The sequence below is a fragment of the Homo sapiens genome, chromosome 7 (assembly GCF_000001405.40).
Source record: "Homo sapiens chromosome 7, GRCh38.p14 Primary Assembly".
In the NCBI taxonomy this organism is placed as follows: Eukaryota; Metazoa; Chordata; class Mammalia; order Primates; family Hominidae; genus Homo; species Homo sapiens.
Window position 1 is genome coordinate 10,081,420 of NC_000007.14, and position 20,401 is coordinate 10,101,820.

General features: G+C 33.4%; 1 long non-coding RNA gene across 1 annotated transcript in view, besides 1 other annotated feature; it reads right to left on the reverse strand.

The window, feature by feature from the left end:
• Positions 2,510-2,710: a silencer, noted in NCBI's record as "peak6377 fragment used in MPRA reporter construct". NCBI's record gives its function as "represses an SCP1 promoter by STARR-seq MPRAs in K562 erythroleukemia cells {active_cell/tissue: K562}" and the evidence as "EXISTENCE:reporter gene assay evidence [ECO:0000049][PMID:32103011]".
• The window catches only part of LOC105375149 (uncharacterized), a 69,718-nt gene continuing 55,147 nt past the window's right edge, over positions 5,831-20,401 (reverse strand). The window contains exons 2-3 of the long non-coding RNA XR_001745088.2: positions 18,746-18,805; positions 5,831-9,389 (exon numbers count right to left, since the gene is read on the reverse strand). This is a non-coding gene — a long non-coding RNA (uncharacterized LOC105375149). The remainder of the gene's footprint in view (positions 9,390-18,745; positions 18,806-20,401) is intronic.

Genomic DNA, 20,401 nt, shown 5'->3' on the forward strand with positions numbered 1-20,401 from the left:
GGGAATGAATGTGTAGCACTTGAGGCTTGTCTATCAGTTATTTGTTGCTACAATAACATTGCATAAAAACCAGCCATAAAACTCAGTGGCATAAAATATTGTTTATTGCACATGTGTCTGGAGTCAGTTATAGTCAGTTAGGTAGATCTATTCATTAGTGCTGTGCCAGTTCATGTGTGTCCAGAATTACTGGTTGTTGACTGATCTGAGCTGGCCTTGTCTCTACTTTTTTGTATATTCCTCATCCTCCTCTAGTATTTAGCAAGCTACTTCAGATATATCCTGCTGTGATGACGTAAGTGTAGGCAGAACACCAAGCTTCACTGCATAAGCCCATTTCAATCATCTGCTATCATCCAGTTGGTCAATACAAATCATATGACTGACTGACATACAAAAGGTTGCTGCAGGTCACACCATCTAAGGTGGGAGGACATTGCAAAGTTCTATGACAACAAGTGCTGATAAATGGAGAAGAAAAATTAGAAGATCATCATTTCAACATCTCTATAGTGCCTTAATCCAAAGTACTTTTACTTTTATCTATTTCATATATTGGACTACATGGCAAAATGGCAATTGAAAGAGTAAGACATTCTCTTATTAAAAAAAATGAAAATATTGTACACAATTGTGCCAAATTCCTCAGACTCTCCCCACCTAACCTGAACCTGCTTGTGCTGATTTCACTTTACAGGTAATAATTTTGATAGCAAACTACATCTACCACATAGAGAGCTGGCACTTTGCCTGACGCCTATCCTATAATTTTGTAACTCTACACTTGCAAAAATGTCTGTTTGTTCTATTTTTTTCTTACTCATCTGCCTTCTTTAGGCTTTCAATGCCTGTACTATGATAGACTCCTCAAACCTAAATCCAAAAGGAAAACACCATTTTTTTGTATTTCTAAATCAATGCTGGGCTGGCCTCAATTCTCTCACAGTGGAATGAGCAGAAGAGATTAGGATGTTATGTTTCTTTAATTCTTTTCTTGTGTGTGAACTGGTCCCCATTTGTGCTATTTACTGCTTTGCCTTTAAACCGCTTGGGTCTATCAGTTGCTTCCATATGCTATAGGGTTTCAGTGGTACAACACATATTGCAACAACGAGGAACAAAGTGCTATTCTACTTGAGAAACCGAATTTGTATAGCCCACCACAGTGCCAATTACCATTTCTACTTCTTTCTAATTTCTTTGACTCGTCATTGATTCACATGTGCATTCAATAATAATTGATTGAACTACAGTAAGTAGTTCTACCTTGATGAGAATTTCAGTGCCCCACAAGAATGACATAGAAAACAACTGCAATTATATTGATTACCTACCATGTGCTGTTTTTCAATATCATTTCTCTATTCTTAAAATACTGTAAAACATGATTATTATTTTACCTTTTTGACAGATGATAAAATGGTGATTTTGGGGGATGAAATAACTGGGGCAATTTTATAGAAGTAGTAAATTTTGGAGATGAGAAACAAACATAATTTTGTTTTATTTCTTCCTTAGGCTTATGATTCAGATTTACAATAGAGTTGTCAAAAATTATCAGTTTCTTCCTGTGTGGCCAAGGGCAAGTACACAAATATAGTCAAGTATATACATTTGATCCAAAAAACTGTGTACGTTGGTTTCTGGTGGTGTGCCAAGTGTAGTCGGAGATGCTGGAGAGCAACACATGATAGAAGAATGGCCCTGCCACCCACAGCTTACAGACAACCTAAAAAACCTGTTGACATACACTTGCTCCAAGCTGGACCACCTACGAATATTCTGCTCATCCACAAACAGAGAAAATATTCACGAAAACTATAAAAATGTTACTGTTGCTGAGATGGCCAAAAGAAAGCTACTAGAAAAAGTAAGATAAAAATCCAATGTAACACCATACCCATGATGAAGAAGGATACCTACAATTGTTTTCTAATTTTCAGTGTTTTAAACTCTGCTTATTGCTCTAGTTTAAGAGTATTGTTTTTTCTTACTTAAACTTTACAAAGTGCCCCACGAAAGTCTTACTCTTTTCCCTAAAGGACTGAAATCTTAAACCTGGAGACACGATTCAAAAAGGCTGAAAACTATTGTTGTAGCAAGTCTTCAGGGATTCTCTGTTGTGCTGAAGCATAAACATTAAATATAATTTTTGCCCCATCACTACAAATGTTAACAATTTTTCTATAACTAGCATTTGATTTTCTCAATCTAGTATAAATTTGTATTATTTTTACATAAATGATATATAAATCAGTATATAAGAAGAGGATTGGCTAGTATTCTCAAAAAAAAAAAGAAAAAGAATGTGGGTGCTCTGATCTTTTGATAAACTATTTAAAATATTTCAAATGGCATTCAATTGAAGAGTTATCCATTATGTCACAACACATTACATGAAATGATTATCACAAAATTAAAAAAATAGAAAGCCAGACAAACACGCATAAAAACAAAGAAATCTGTGGGAAAAATCAATTTAAATCTTTGTGAGAAATATGGGGGAGGGGAGTCACACAAAAAGGAGGGAAAAAAACCATGCTGCTTTTCATTGACTTTAAACAGCTGCCATTGAGCGATTACAGTGTAGGCAGCCTTGAGCTGCAGATGAAAATTTCCACGTGTAAATTGGGTGGTTGCAAATTCTTTCAGTACTGCTACTGTTATTTTGTAACCTCAAACTCACATAGTCTAATTGTTTGCAGTATGATGTTAGGCAAATGATTGAGTTTTATTGGCGATAAAGTTCAGAAACAAAGAGGTCAAGGACTTACTGAGTTACTTAACAAAAAACAAGGAGAGCTCCAGAGAACCCCCCTCTTTAAATTGCACTTGAAGGTACTTCAAAGAAACATAAAAGGGGGAAAAAAGGGAACAAAAACATCGAGAGTAGAAGAGGAAGGCCTGCATCCACATGCCAATTATGTTCCACTTAAAATAACTATGCCTACTAATATCCTGAAAATGTAGCAAATTGTATTTGCTATTAAACACCTAATTTGGCTTAATATTATCCTCAGAAATGTAAAACACTTTCTTTCAAAGACAATGGTTTGTAAACTTTATACAATAATTGAAATCAACTCAAGAAGCTTTAAGGAAAACAGGCTTTATCCCCACTTTCATTCATTATTTCTTCCATTTGTTCATTCAGTAAACTGCAATTATTTGGGAGGAAACTTAGTAGGCACTCATAGTTTTTGAACCATTAAATTAATGAAAGGTAAATGCTTCAAAGAGACATCTCTAGGGAGTCATTTCCTAGACTTCACTGCAGCCACAATGAAATTTGAAACAGGAGACTAAAAATTATTCTCTTAAGCAAATCCAATATATAAAAATCCAAATGTTAGTAAGAATAAATAAATGGTGATTATTTGTGCTAGAAAGGAATTCTTCATTACACAAATGGTTTCCCATAGAAATCACTGTAATGGTGAACTGCTTGTCTATCTTAAATAATAAGAATTTATATAAATGAAAAAAAATTATTTTTTTCTTTGTGGCATAATTTCCCTAATCCCTTTCCCCAGAAGACTCATTTTGCTACGTTAATACTTAAATGGGACTGGACAACAAAATTTACCCACTCTTACCAGACTATTACTAATATCAGCAGCAAATCCACACGAGTCTACTACATCAACTCAATCCTTGCCTCTTTAGAAGAAAGAATTTGACTGAGGAGCATGGGGCAGATGTAGAGACCTAAGCAAGTTTTAGAACAGGGGTGAACGTTTGCTAAAAAGTTTTAGAGCAGGAACAAAACGAAGAAAGTACACTTGGAAGAGGGCCAAACAGCCGACTTGAAAGATCCAAATGCCTCTCCCAACCCTGGACTTAGGGTTTTTCATACCTTGGCATGACTCTGGGGTTTGCATTTCTTCTCTCCTGATTCTTCCCGTGGGTCCACATGTGCAGTGGCCTGCCAGCACTTGGGAGAGGCCGCATGTCCAGCGTGTTTGCTGGAGTTGTGCACATGCTCATTTGAGGCATTTTTCTCTTAAGCAGTCGAGCGTTCCAGAGGAAAGTCGGAAACCAGTTTAACTGCCATTTTGCCTCTCTTAGTGCGCATGCTTAAACTCACCCGCCCAACTCCTGAGATCTTATTGGGAAACTGCTCGTTACCAGCTTCAGGTGTTTTCTATCTGCTGGGAGACTGACTTTTCCTGGTACTGGCTGCAACTAATTATTATCTTAGAGAGACAGTTTAACAACTGCCTGACCATCACCTGATGGTTGCCTGATATTCTTGGAGTGAAGCCCTCTCCTGCTCTGATCATATCAACCTAGCTACATACTCTAACAAGACTATTTTAATAACTGCTTTTAAAAGATTCATCTTCTGAAGTCTTTGCTCTGCCGCCTGAGATAGGTATGAACAAAAGCAGAGCCAGATTACTTAACACAATATGAGGGATTAGAGAGGCTTTGGGAGAGAATAATATAGAGGATGAAAGAGAATGAAGAGTGGAAAATAATTGTTGAAATAGGAACCAAATGCCTACAATGGGGATTTAATGCAATGATTGTGCAGTGTGTCATTACTTCTAGGTCTTCTTTTGCGGATGCTGGAAACTAAACCCTGAGCCTGCCCCTCAATGTGGATACAGAAGAAAGTAGACTATTCACAGGGAGATTCAATGTAAAATGCGTACATTAGCCGTAATTAATGCTCTGATCAATTCATGAAATATTATTAAACACTAATGGCAGACATAGAGAGGTTTTACAATTACATAGGTAAATATAATAGAGCCCTTCCCTACCTTTGTATGAATAACAGGCATGAATATAACAGAGGGAGTTTAGGATACATGACCTCAAAATATTTTAAGCTGAAGGAATTTATGCAAAGGAGGAGATGTCTCTCTAACCTTCCCACTGCCCTTCCTTCCTGAAGCAGTTCATAAAAGCTGGGAAGGGTTTTCTAGCGTTCTCTTAAAATAGGTTATAAAAGCTTCATGTGAGAGGTGCTCTCCCTATATCCAGAGAAATGAGCATTTTTGTCTTTGAAGACTCAAGGGCATAGAGAAGCATCTGAGTCAGCAGACTCTGATATGTTTCCCTCAGTTTACTCCCACTAGATCATATTCCATTTTATCATATTTCTCCGTGACTCTGCATTTTACATCAAACATAGCATAAAAATATGCAGGTTTGACTGTTTCTTTTGGTCTTTCCTTACAAAGGCTCCAATGTCACTTAAAACTTATAATAAATACAATCATCCCTCAATATCCATGGGAGATTGGTTCCAGAACACCTAAGAATACCAAAACTTAAGGGTGCTCAAATCCCTGTTATAAAATGGCACATAATCTATGTACATCCTCTCATACACCTTAAATAATCTCTAGATTACTTATAGTTTCTAATACAATATAAATGCTATACAAATAGTTGTTATACTGTATTGTTTTTATATACATTATTTTTATTGTTGCATTGCTTTTTATGCATTTTGAATATTTTTGATTCATGGTTGATTCAATCTGTGGGTATGAAACCCACAGATATGGAGGGTAGACTGTAAATCTGCTTGCTTTTCTCTTGTTAACCTGTCTTTTGTTGTAGAAGCCTCAGTCATGAACCTAAAATCTTTTACCTGGGTAAAAGAAAAGCAATTGTCCTCCTTTATATCATCATAAACTGACCTGGTTTTGAAGATAGACAAATATACAAGGTTATGGAAAGACAGAAAAAAAGCAACTCAGACTTACTGAGGAGATCAGGAAAATATCATAGAAGGCTGCAGGGGAGGAACAAATTCCTCTATGCTTTTATTAATGGCTGGAGGATCAGTGTATTAAACTAACAAGCAGATAAACAAAAGAAAAGGCTTACATATTTAATTTTTAATTTTACATGCACTATGGCATCATTAAAAAAAAGTGAATACCAAAATGAGAAGCAAGATTTGGAAACTTGTATGCTACCTTAATAGCGGAAAGGGTAGGGGATAAAAGCCACTTATGGGAGAGAAAAATAAATTTTAGGAAATACAAATGGGCCCTTATGAGAATAAATGGGAGACAGAGTTTGTGGCAATGACTGTCTAGGTTTGGTGCAAACTTCTCATCTCTTTTCCTATGACAAGAGTCAATTTTCCCTGGTCAATGAAACTTCCAGGGAGGGAATTTGGACAGTTTAAATTTTTTTTTTTTTGGAGGATATATTTTCAGGCAGATAAGGGGAGTTCGCAGAAAGCCTCTTCCTGCGTTTGTTGATTCTCAAATGTCTTCAGCTCAAGATAATCCTTACGGCACTGTGGCATATTCTGTACCCTTTCAAGGTCAGATTAAGTTCACTTGTAGTAAGAGAACTGTAGACCAGATGAGTTAAAGAAACAAAGATAGAGAAATGGATATGGTGCATGTAGAAGGATTCCAAAAAATGAGAAAGACATAAGAATGAATGTGTGAAAGCCTTCACAAAGTTAAATTTCATAGAGTGATTATGCAAGCTTTGAGCACATAACACAAGCATCAAACTGTCAGAAGATGAGAAAAAGTCAAATAAGAATAGATTACTAAAGGCTTTGTGCAGCGTGCTTCACAGTCTGGACTTCAATTCTTCATAAACAGACATAATAATGAAACAAAATGAGTTGTGGATCATGGGCTAAACCTATGACCACAAACAGGAGAGAGAATCTTGAGCAATGCCCTCCTGCCAATGCATGTAGAAGAAGGAAGTATCTTGATGAGGTTCAGGACACACTGTTCCAAAAGATGGCACCTTGACATACTGAATAGGTGAAGGAATTTGAGGAAATCACAGAAGCAGGAAGGTGATTCAGATCTTTTCTTGTTCACCTTCCCTGCAGCCGGTCATAAAAAGTAGGGAGGATTTTCTGAGCTTCTCTTGAAACAGTTTATGAGACCCTCGTTTGAGAGGTGACCTCTCTATAACTGGATAAATGGGTATAGGCAGAAATACCCATTTTTGTCCTGTTACATTTTTCTGAGAGTCTCTGAGATTCTTCATCAAATTTAGCAAAAGAAAAAGAAATTCATCAAATTTAGCAAAAGAAATACTCAGATTTCACTGTTTCTTCAGGACTTTATTTCCTTACATAGGCTCTCATGCATGTAAAACATATTCAATAAATCTGTATGCTTTTCTTTTGTTAACTTGTGTTTTCTTATAGGGGCCTCACTCATGAACCTAACATGGGGAGAGGAAATTATATATTTCCTCCCTGCAGTTTTCCAACGTTCACAACTCAGTGGTTTCCATTTATATTTTTTCTTTATTGAAATGAGAAGAGTTGCTTCTTATCAAACATCCACATGAACAGAACTTCACATATATGAATCTTCACACACATCCAAAGCATGATAGACTATATTAGTAAAGAAACAGACCATGAGAGTTCACAGTATAGTATATTGAGTACTGCTGGATGAAAAAAATGCAGCTTATTCATTACTTCTCCTTTGAACAATTATTTAGTTTGATTATTACCTTCAAAGACCTATTTTAAGATGTTTAATTTTAAATTCTTTTTACTGTCATTTTAATAACCAAGCACTGTTAAAGAAAAAATTACTCTAATACTTTTTAAAACAGTAATGGTGACTTCATTAGAGACTATTGCAACAAGGCAGAGAGATCAGGCTCAACTCTGAATACAATAAGGACAAGTGGGGATTTATGACCAATGTGCAAAGTGAGGGATCTGTGGATGGAAAATTACTAAGAAGAGACATCAAGGGAAGGGGAATTCTTGCTAAAGTGACCCAGTAAGATTCTTGCTAAAGATAAGCCAAGTACTTATAAATCAATGATGGAGATGAGGAACTTGTTCAAATGTCAAGGGTGATTAGATATCAAAGGTAGAGGGACTATTACTAAGCTGATTTGGCAGGATTCTTTCTAAATTTGGGATATGCAGGCCTGGCAAAGACAGGATAAACATGAAAGGCCAAGACCAAGGCCAATTCAACAAGAGGGCTCGAGGGTCTTATCAGTGAGAGACTATTAGTGAAAGAGTCTTTGTCAGCATGCTATTTAAAAATTAAGAAAGGTAAAACGTATTAACAAGGGTGAACTATAATAAGCTTTGCTCTGCCTGTCTACAGAGATGGAATAGACATTGCAGATAAAATGAGATGGAATTTATGTATCTGCTAAAGTGCATGTGCCAGTAGGAATTTAGAAGTTTTTACACAAGACATGTCTTTGCACTTTGTGTAATATTCACAATCAAGCAAAGACAATATAGGATACCTCAACCTTTATGCTACAACTATACAAATATGTTTTTTCTCTTTTCATGTCTACAGTTATTTTTCTGCTTCTTCTTTTTAAATCTCATATTCCAGTTAACATAAAATAATGCTTTATACAAATAAAAACAATTCTTTTTAAGATACTGTGACTACCTGTTATGTTTCCTGACAAAATTAATTATGTCTTTGCTAATCTACTCAAGCTCCAAATAGCATTATGCAGTAACTTATCAATACTTACATCCTACAGGGAATATACTTTATCATCTAGGGTCTATAGACTACTTTTAAAAGAAAACAATCAATAAATTCTTTAGGCAGAAATTTACCATGCCATTCTCTCTTTACAACACAAATTGAAATGAAATCCACTAAACAAGCACAGAACAGTGACAAAGGCCCTATGCAGATTTTTAGATATTATTGGTATGTTCCCTCCTTTCTCTGGAAAAATTTCACTTTTTCCTTATATTCTTCAGGGCATCCTTTTCTAGATTAGCTCTTCGATGTATTTAAACCAGCCCCAGAGAGCTGAACTGAACAAATAATTAAAAGAAAACATAATTAGAGAATTTGGGGCCATATTACAAATATAAAAAGTATTTTAAGTAAATACTAAGTTTGAAGAAATGCAATAAAAAATTATATTAATATACTGCTAACAAAATATTAAATGATCAGTAAACATCAAACATGACGAAAGTATATTGTATTTTGCCTGTGAGGATAAAGAGAAAATGAATACTAAACTAAGCATCCAGCTCAATAATTTAAATAATTATAATCATCCAGAAGAATCCATGAGGAAGTGCATAATGAACATGAATGCATACAGACATTTGTCAGACATTTCTATGATATCCTTACATTAAGCTAAATACAGGTTATCATCGTCTTGGCAGTATTTATAAAAGTAATCCAATTCTGGACCAAATCCTGACAAAATGATTATAATGTTCATCAAGAAGATCAAACTCCTATTTTTTGCGACAGTCTCTTTTCTTAGCTCCCATGTAATAATGTTCTCTTCATTTTTCTTCTTCATCTAGAGGCTTCCTTTTAGTCTCCTTCATCAGATTTCTTCTTTGGTTTTAAATATTGGAGTTCCTCCAGTACATGTACTAGATACTTTCAAGACTCAATATGCAGTTCCTAGAAAATATCCAAATCATTATCCAACATTTTTAAAAAATTCTATGATTTGCTACTGTATTTTTGGGCTAGAACTATATTCTATATAGTCTGTGCGCTCACTATATTCCACAGTCTGCTCAACATCTACATAGACTGAAGAATAAATCACAAAGGCCCCTTAAAGCAATGGATCCGAAATTGAACTCATCTATTTTCTGAACAGGTGCTTCTCTATAGTCTCTTTTCTCCATAGAACTTACCATAATTCCATCCAGTTTCACAAGAGATCCTGAATCACCCATGATACCTCCATCACGTTCAACAGTGTTCAGAAATTCATCTTCAAAGCATTTGGCTTCACCTCCTGAATATATTTCAAATCTATTCAATTTTCTTAATTTTCTCAAAAAACAACTTAGATCAAGTCACTATAATCTTTCACCTGGACTCTGCCATGGTCTTCTGATGGTCTGGTCTCTTATCAGTTTTCTTCCTCTTCCAAAGAATTCTCTATGCCACAGTCCAGAGTGAGATCAGTCTCTAATATCCTCACATTACTTTTAGGAGAAATACAAAAAATTCTTACATTGGCATGTGTAGTTTTATATGGTCAACTTCCTGCCACCCTCTAATATTGTGTCTTAAACTGCATGCCCATGCTATCTGTTTTAGCCATGCTGGCCTTGAATCAGTGATTTGAACAACTCACGTTCCCTTCCATTGCATGGCTATTGCATGTACTCTTTGCTCTGCCCTAAGTATTTGAATGTGCTCTTCCATCATTTTTGCATAATTGACTTTGCATTTTGCTTATTCATAAACTCAATTATTACCACATCAGGAAGATTTCCATGATTATAAAGTGTAGATTTTGTCCATTGCCTAAGTGTTCCTATAAAAGTATAAATTAGTTTCTTCACAGCACTTATCATGATTTGAAATTATGTTTGTTTGATTGATAACTATCTTCTTCACAAGACTGTATAAGAGTCAAGTATTAGAATGCCCACGCCTATTTTGCTCACCATTTCATCCACAGCCTTCAACACAGGATGGGAAATGTGCAATAGGCAGTTTTACAATGAATGTGAGTGAATGGCAAATATATTTGTGGAAAAAAAACTATTGAAGTAAATTTTATGTGTATAAATACTAAAACACTATATTACTGACACGAAAACGGGTGAATATACCAGTGGAGTGAAATAGATATGAAGAAAATAATGTAATATCTGATGAGAAAGATATATTAGAGTAAGAAAGGAAGTTCTATTCAATACTTTTGAAACATCTACCAAACAATTTTTTAAATAAAAAGAGATGGGGTCTCACCTCTTTTTATTGTAAAAATTGTTTTGTAGATATTTCAAAAGTATTAAACATCTCACTGCATGAGTAAGTCAAAATAAATTTTTGATGACACAATTTTGAAAAATACGTAATTATTAAAACATTAAACATTTATTAAGCACTCTGGAAAGGATTGTTAAGATTCATAGTCATAATGGCATAGCAGAAATATTTGGAGTAAGATAGACCTATTTTTAATTCCTAATGGTGTTACTTAGACAAGTTGCTTGCTATTAAAAATAATTAATAAACTTTATTTTTATAGGGGTTTTAGGTTCGAAGGAAAATTTAACAAAAAGTACAGACAGTTTCCATATACTTCTTGTTCCTACACACATACAGTTTCCCACTATTGACATTCTGCACCATATGAATGCATTTGCTACAATCAAAGAATCTAGATTGACACATCCTTATCACTAAAAGTTCATCATTTACATTAGCGTTTACTTTGGGTACATCTGATGGATTTGGGGAAGTGTATAATGACATGTATCCACTATTCTACAGTCATACTGAATACTTTTATTACCCTAAAAATATTCTGTTCTCTACCTATGCATCCCAAACCACTAGCTACCACTAATCCTTTTAATGTCTCTATAGTTTTGCCCTTTTAAGAATGTCATACAGTTGGAATCATACAATATGTAGCTTTTTCAGATTGCTGTCTTTCACTTAGTAATATGCATTTATATTTCCTCTGTTTCTTTTCAGGGATTGATAACTCATTTCTGTTTAATGCTAAATAATATTCCAAACTCTAGCTGTTCCACAGTTTATTTATTTGGCTACTAAAAGACATTTTAGTTGCTTCCAACTTTTGGCATTTATGACTAAAGTTCCTAAAACATCTGTGTGCAGATTTTTGTGTAAATATAAGTTTTCAATTCATTTGGTAAGTAGGATGAAATGCAATTGCTGGACCGTAGGTAAGAGAATATTTTGTTTTGTAAGAAAATGCTGAACCGTCTTCCAAAATGGCTGTACCATTGTGCGTGTCCACCATCAATGAATGAGAATTCCTGTTATTCCACATCCTCATCAGCATTTGGTATTGACAGTGCTTTAGAATGGCCATTTTAATAGATGTGTAGCAGTATGTCCTTTTGATTTAATTTGCAATTTCCTAATGATGTATAATGTTAAACATCTTTCATATACTTAATCACCATCTATAGATCTTTGGTGAGATTTCTGTTCATTTATTTTATCAGGATTGTTCATTTTCTGATTGTTCAGTTTTAAGTAGTCTTTGTATATTTTGGGTAACAGTCCTTTATCAAATGTATCTTTTGCAAGTACTTTCTCCCAGTCTGTGTCTTGTCTTATTCTCTTGACATTGTTCTTTCCAGAGCAAAAGATTTTAATTTTAAGGAAGTCAGCTTAACTATTATTTCTTTCATTGATCTTGCCTTTGATGTTGCATCTAAAAATCATCATCATATGCAAGATGAATTAGGTTTTCTCCAGTTATCTCCTAGGAATTTTAGTGTATGGTGTTTAACATTTAGGTCTATAATTCATTTTGAGTTAATTTGGTGAAGGGTGTAAGGTGTGTATCTTGATTTTTTGCATATGGATGTCCATTTATTTTACCACTGTTAGTTGAAAATACTATCTTTGTTCTACTGCAGTTTTTATTCCTTGGTCTAATATCAGTTGATTATATTTACATGGTTTCTTTCTAGGTTCTCAGTTCTGTTCCACTGATTATTTGTCTGTTTTTTTTCCCCAATACCACATTGTTTTGATTACTGTAGCTTTATAACTAAGTCTTGATGTCTGTTAGTGTCATTCATTTAACTTTGTTCTTCTCTTTTAGTATTGGGTTGGCAATCCTGGGTCTTCATCCACTCTATGTAAATTTTACAATCAATTTGTCAATATCCACAAATTAACTTACTGGAATTTTAACTGAGATTGCACGGACTCTATAGATTAAGTTGGGAAGAAATGACATCGTGAAAATGTTGACTCTTTCTATTCATATGAGCAAGGAATATCTCTGTTATTTTTTCTTTGATAACATTCATCAGTTTTGTAATTTTTCTCATATACATCTTATAGATATTTGGTTAGATATATGAGTAAGTACTTAATTTTGGGGTGCTAATGTAAATAAAAATGTGTTTTGAATTTCAAATTCCAATTTTTTATTACTGCTACATAGGAAAGCAATTGACTTTATATATTAATCTTATATCATGTAACCTTGTAGTAATTGCTTATTAGTTTCAAGAGTTTTTTGGCAATTTTTGATTTTTTTATACAGATGATATTGTCGTCTGAGAACAAGAAATTTGATTCATTCCTTCATAATGTGTATACTTTGTATTTCTTTTTATTGTGTTATTACATAGCTAATGTATCTAGCACAATATTGAAAAGCAATGCTGACAGGGGACACCCTTGTCTTGTTCTTGATCTTCACAAGAAAATTTTGAGTTTCTCACCATTAAGTATGATATTAGCTGGAGAGTTTTCATAGATGCTCTTTATTAAGTTGAGTAAGTTTTTTCTATTTTTAATTTATTGATAATTTTTATCATGAATAAATATCGCATTTGATGAATTTTTTTGCATGTATTGATAAGATCATGTGATTTTTCTTCTTTAGCATGATGTGATGGATGACATTACTTAATTTTCAAAAGTTGAAACAAATTTGCATACCTGGCACAGATTCCACTTGGTCATGGTGCATACTTATCTTTATATATTGCTGGGTATAGTTTGCTAATATTTTGTTGAGGATTTTTGCATTTATGTTCAAGAGAGTTATCAGTCTATTATTTTTTTCTTTCTTCTAATGTATCAAAATCCCAGAAATTTTGGAAGTTGGATTCATTTCATTTTATTTAGTTCAATATATGTTTTAATTTCAAGATTTTTTCCTTAATCCATGTGTTATTTAGAAGCGTGTTATAATCTCCTAATATTTTGGAATTTTCCAGCTATCTTGCTGTTACTGAGTCTTAGTTTAATTCTATTGTGGCGTAACAGCAGAATAGTATAAGTTCAATTCCTTTACATTTGTTGAGTTCATTGAGGTGTATTTTATGTCCCAGAATATGGTCCATCTTGGTGAATGTTTCATGTAAGCTTGAAAAGAACATTTAAACTGATTTTGTTAGATTAAGTAGTCTGTAAATGTCAATAGGTTCAATTGATCAATGCTGCCTTTGAGTTCAACTAAGTTCTTACTGATTATCTGCCTGCTGGATCTCTCCATTTCTGATAGAGAAGGTTTAACATCTTCTACTATAAGAGTAGATTCATCTATTTCCCCTTGAAGTTCTATTAGTAAATTGACCTTTAGTAATGTAGTAGTAAGATGTAAGAGAAAAGAAGAGTTATATATTCCTATGATTAAGTTTCAGTGTTTGGTGAGGCTGTGTTCCTGGACTGTGAACCTTATCAGTGCTTCTGAGTACCCCATATCCCTCATAGATGGGACAGGATGGCTAGAGGAGGCTGGAGTTAGGTATTTCTTTCCTGTAGATAGGTTAGGCTTTGATAAAACCCCAGCATATTAGACTCTGATAAAATATTTTCTCCTGAAAGCAGGCCTTATTAAGAAGAACAGAATGCTTCAGTGTGTTTTGAAATAGTCACTTCCCATAAGTAAGAGAAAACTTTTATCTGATATTAACTATGAGAATCTGGTAGGGCTCCTAGGGGTACCATTAATAAAGCTGTGTGGGTGCGCTGATGACTGGGTCTCCCTGGAGTATTTTTTATTTCCAGACTTGTCTACATTTAACCTCCAGCAATTTTTCAATAACAGTTCAGATTTCCTATCCCTGGCACTGGTTCCTGCAGAAGTTTCTGCTTATGAGTTTCTGCTCTGGTAAATTGTGATTCTCTGTATTTGCCTGTCTGTCTCTCCAATCCGGGGGCAGTGGTTTGCCCTGTGACTTCACTTCTGGGATGGATTTAAAAAGATTTGTTGATTTTTCATTTTGTTTCCCTTTTTATTGTTAGGAGCTGATTTCTAAGTTCCTTACAGGCCTGCCAGACCAGAAACACAAAGACATTATTTGCTTACAAAACTGAGAGCCTCAATTTCCTGATTTTTAAAAGAGATAATTTTAATACTTAACTCATATAGATGAATTTAAGATTAAATTTTGAAATATTTTATATAAATGGATTTAGGTTAAATTATATGATATCTACCCTAATATAATGTCAGTTACATATTTTCTTAAATATTAAGAAACCAGATACCAAGTTCTACCACCTTAGGAATAGCTTTTATTTTTGATAGACCAACTGTGGCCCTGCATACTCCTCCTGGGTGACTGAAGTTTAAATATTCAAGGGTTTCGTTTTGCTTGTTGAACTCTTATAGCTATTGTAAACTTCCCAAGATGCCGATGACTGAACTTCAGATAGCAATTTTACGATTCCCAACTCATCGAAGGTCTTATTTATATTTTTCAGTTGTACTTTTTTTTCTAAGCCAAGGAAAACATTGGCCATCCAGGAAATTTCCTATAACCGAACTATAGTCAGGATGTTCAACATCACTTTACTTGGAGCTGGAAAAATGTGTTTTTGAAGTTGTATATAGTTATGTCCTTGCACATATTGAAAGCTTTCTATAGTACTAAAAGTTTGTTTTATTTAATCAAACATTAAACATTTTTAAGAAAATAATCAGACAGTAAAGCAAACTTATCTTCTTGAAAAAAAATAATACCTTGCATCACAAAATAATATGCAATGCAGAAAGTTAAGCCATATAAAATTTTACATTATGGGTGTTTTAAAAAAAGACATAATATGAAAACAACAAACAGGAAAACTGTAGCATATATAATACATATTTCCTGTCTTTTTTTTTTCTAGGTTTCATTTGTGTTTTTTTATTTTTTTATTTTATTATTATTATACTTTAAGTTTTAGGGTACATGTGCACAATGTGCAGATTAGTTACATATGTATACATGTGCAATGCTGGTGCGCTGCACTCATTAACTCGTCATTTAGCATTAGGTATATAAAGTGTTAATTTTACCCTAAGAATGGAGTGAAAAACCCTTTCAATAGATAAGGTAAAAAAAATCTGAATCTTAGTTTTAAAAAGACCTATTAAGTATATCGAAAAGTATTCAAAATAATAAATAAAAACTTTTTAAAAAACAATAAATATAATACTTTTTGCTCATAAACTTATTAAAATATAAAAAAGTCCAATGTTGATGGATATATGGTAAAACAGGAATTCTAATACAGGACTATTATTTGAAAAGCCATTTGTTTTGGTATCAAAAGTCTTAAAATATTTACTCTTTTTGATTCAACAGTTTTCAGTTTGGAAGCCCTCCTGAATGATATCGTATACTGAAATATATTTGTGCCCGTATTTGTTATTCAAAGTGGCATTTAAGATAACACATTTAGAAATGATTCACATACTCAACAATAATAAACTTTATTATAACATGTTTATATAATAAATATGTATTATAAAACAGAAATTTAATGTTTATCTTCAAGCAATAATTTACAAAAATTTCTATGTTTATTTAAAATGCAAAAGGCAGGATGGGAAAGTGTTTTCATCAAATGATTTAATCTATTTAAGCCATCATCACTAAACCACCAGACACATAAACATCTTTATACAATGCATTGTTTCAGTATGCCACAATTTCTAGTCTTTGCATTGGATTAGAAAATTAGATATAATTTTATTTTTATTTATACGAATTCCCAAAAGAATGAGAGGAATTTCTTCTTTGCATAGAAATTATTATATTTTTGATCACTATGTACTCATATTGGGTGTACGGCAAGTCTACCATAGATTCTATCCAAGAGGTCTTTCAGTTATATATGAGGAAATTGCTTTTGTTTCTGTAAACTAGATACTGGTCCCACATGAGAAAATCATGTTAATTTTAACTTAGTGATGAAGTATCTAGGGACACATATCATAATTTATAGATAATATTATTAATAATTAAAGTGTGTTGAAACTATTGTGCTACATTCCTTCCATGCATTCACTCATTGAATCTGCATACAACCATAAGAGATAGATACTATTATAATCCCCATCTTGTCAATGAAGATACTAAGCCATAGAAAAATTAGGTAACTTATACAGAGTCACGAAACTGGTTCCTGAAATAAATATCTATGATACATCGGAGATGTTCAGCTTTCAGAGCTCATACTTATAAAAATGTTAGTTTTTATTACTTCATGAATGATTTACTTTCAGTTATCAACATCCGCTTAAAACAGATAAATATTCTTGGATTTATTACTGCCTAGAGTGCGAAAATTGGGACCATCAACGTATTTCCTGACGCCTGGTTCTATACTTTACTCACTAGGCTCTGACGAGCTATACAAGCTCTCTTGCAGACTAAGACAAATCCTGCCACGCTGCACAGCTGGTACTTGAAAATGTCACTGTTGATTAGACATTTTTAGTCATTTAATTTTTGCTCTATAAGCTGGATTTCAGTTCTCCTTCATGACTGACACATATTGTTTTTGTCTTTTACTTCTGTCCATATTTTTCTTTAGGGCATTCATTAAAAGAAACAAGACATTATTTTTAATAAGATATCACCTGCAGAAAGGAAGCAATGGGAATAAAGTAGAGTCCTTCCCATGAAAAATATTGCTCCAGTTAACTAGTCTAAATTGAGTTAATTTTGGAAATTGTCTGCTCCAGAATTAAAACAATAAAATCCCTACATTTGAATTCTAAATAGCAATATGGAATAAATGTATTATAACGAAACAGAACCACATGGGAAAGTGTAAAGAAATTCTCAAAATAAGTCTTACAAGAGAATGTTCTATTTTTCAACAAAGAATAGGCACTGTGTGTCAAAGTCATAGCTGAGAGTTTTACTTGTGAGAATATGTGATAGTTTGGGTAGAAGAGGGCACAATTTGGACTTTGATATCAATTTTATTGGAGAAAAAAATCAGTACTTACAATTCTATAATCAAATTTAATATGCATCATACTATAAAACAAGATACTTCTATAAATAGCTATCATAAAGAAGATGACAGAAACTAAATAAAATTTTTGTCCTCTTGAACTGAGTCTTATGTTTTTATACAATGAATATTTACAAATGAATTGTTTTGTAGAAATGACTTAACAACAATCAGTACATTTTTAGAAGGTATTTATAATAGCCAGAAATAATTACTACTCTTGGCTAATCATGGTCATTTTTATATGTAATCTTAAACTATTTTTTAGATAATAAAATAATAAATGCTTTTTGTAAATAAATCAAACATGTATTAACATAGGATATAAAGCTTGTTAGTATCTTAAGACCAAAATAAACCCACTTTTATACTATTATTTGTATATGTGTTTATTTCCATGTATAATATAAATATATAAACATTTGTTTTATAAGGATATGGCAGATACTGAATTAAGAGTTTACATTCATTATCTATTTTAACCCTCACAAGAACCAAAAAACCCTATGAGTTTGGAAATATTACTTTCCACATTTTACAGACACATATATGAAATTATTAATTTTTTAAAAGAGAATGAGAGTTTATTAAAACTTTAGTTCATGCTGTGCATGCTGGTTCACACCTGTAATCCTAGCACTTTGGGAAGCCAAGGCGAGCGGATCACCTCAGGTTAGGAGTTCGAGACCAGCCTGGCCAACATGGTGAAACCCCGTCTCTACTAAAAATACAAAAATTAGCCAGGCATGGTGGCAGGTGCCAGTAATCCCAGCTACTTGGGAGTCTGAGGCAGGAGAATCTCTCGAACCTGGAAGGAGGAGGTTGCAGTCAGCCCAGATCACGCCACTGCACTTGAGTGTGGGTGACAGAGCGAGACTCCATTTCAAAAACAAAACAAAACAAAACAAAACTTCAGTTCATATAGCAAGGCAACCTGAGTTTCAATAGTGTTTCTGCTAATTACTAAATGTATGATTCCTGGCAAATTATCTAATCTGTTTTTACCTCAATTTCTTTTGTAAAATGAGAGCAATAATAGTACCTACCTTATAGGCATAATGTGAAGATTAAATATTTCCATGAATTTAAAATGCTTAGATGGTTACCTGAAACATAGAAAAGACTCCATAAATGTTAATAAACATTTATCTATTGATATCTATTGGTTCCTCAATGTTATCTATGTCTTTGTGAGTATATACAGAGCTATCCCATCTTTTGAAAGAGTTGTATAGTGTCTGTTTTTATTTTCTCTATCCCCTTCTGTTTGACTTTTTAGTTTTTTTTTTTAATTGCAAACTGCTACAGTAAATATAATTGTGGGGGTGAGTGTAAATATATATAGTCTTACAGTTGAATAAATATGTCTACATTGTATACATTTTTCAAGTGTAATTTCTGAATCAACAGCCATGAATATTTAAAATGTGTAGATAATGTTTGTTACCCACTGAAACACTGACACCAACTTATGTTCCTTCCTATAGGTAGTGTTAATTTCCTCTTGTGTCACTATTACTAGATTTATTCATTTGTTTGTCCACTAATTCAACAAAATTTATTTGCCAGTTATTATATTTCACATAATTTGTTAAGAACTGCAGACATCTTGTCCCTGTTCATGGAACTCACACTCTTTGGAGAAGACTGATTTTAAATATCTAATTGAACGTTGGGAAGATGTCCAGCTGAAATGATGTCAGTATTCCATAACAGATGAAAAAGATAGGTCGTGAAACAAAGCAGCATGTTCAGAACAAGTCAGAATAAGTAACTTAATACATTAATAAAATGAAATTATTTAATAAATATAATTTTCATAAATATTATATTTATTATATATATTTATAGGAAGGTTTTGATAAGTGAAGTCTCAAAGATGGGCTAAGAAATCTATAGATGGGGTCATCCATCATCTTTTTTCAGTCAAGATAGCAAATTATCTGAAACATTTCAGTGAATTTTATTCTATTGATATACTGAGCAGATAAAAATGAAAATTAAATGCTTATCATGCATTATGAGGTAAAAAAATTTGTTGCATTTTTTAGATATTTAAAAAATGGTTTATAATTTGTGATTTTCATTTTATACTTCAGTCTTCATCATAACCATCAGCAAGGAGTAAATGACAGCTCATAATTTAGCTGCTAGACTTTCAGTGTGGAGCAGGGAGTTGAGGCGGAAACTAGATGTTCTAGTATTTTACAACGAGGTATCTGAATATGCGTTTCCATTTATATTCAGTAAGTACCTTATCACAGAGAACATTGTCTCTTCCAGCTCCCACTCCTCCCAAAAGCCACTTAATCAAATTAAATATGCTCAAAGTCTAACCTTTTAAATCACACTGAAACCAAGCTAGATCCCATGGCGATTTCTCTTTAACACCAGTAATTATATGCTTCCATTGCCCTCTGACTCCTGCAGGATCCAGGGCAGTTCAGTGTGGAAATGAGCCTCTTTAATTCCCATTTCTGCAATTCAGTCCAAAAACTGTAGGGTGGGAACATTTTTTTCCCTCTCTTAACTAAAGCAAATGGTACAGAGGCTCTGATCCATTTCATCATTTAGACGATCTACTACTGCCAAAATAAATCAATTAGAGAAACATTCATCAATTGTATTCAGCACCACCACCTAATCTTCCGACAGTTTCCAGTCATAGAGATTCGTCTACTCCCTCTGGCTGGGTAGCAGAA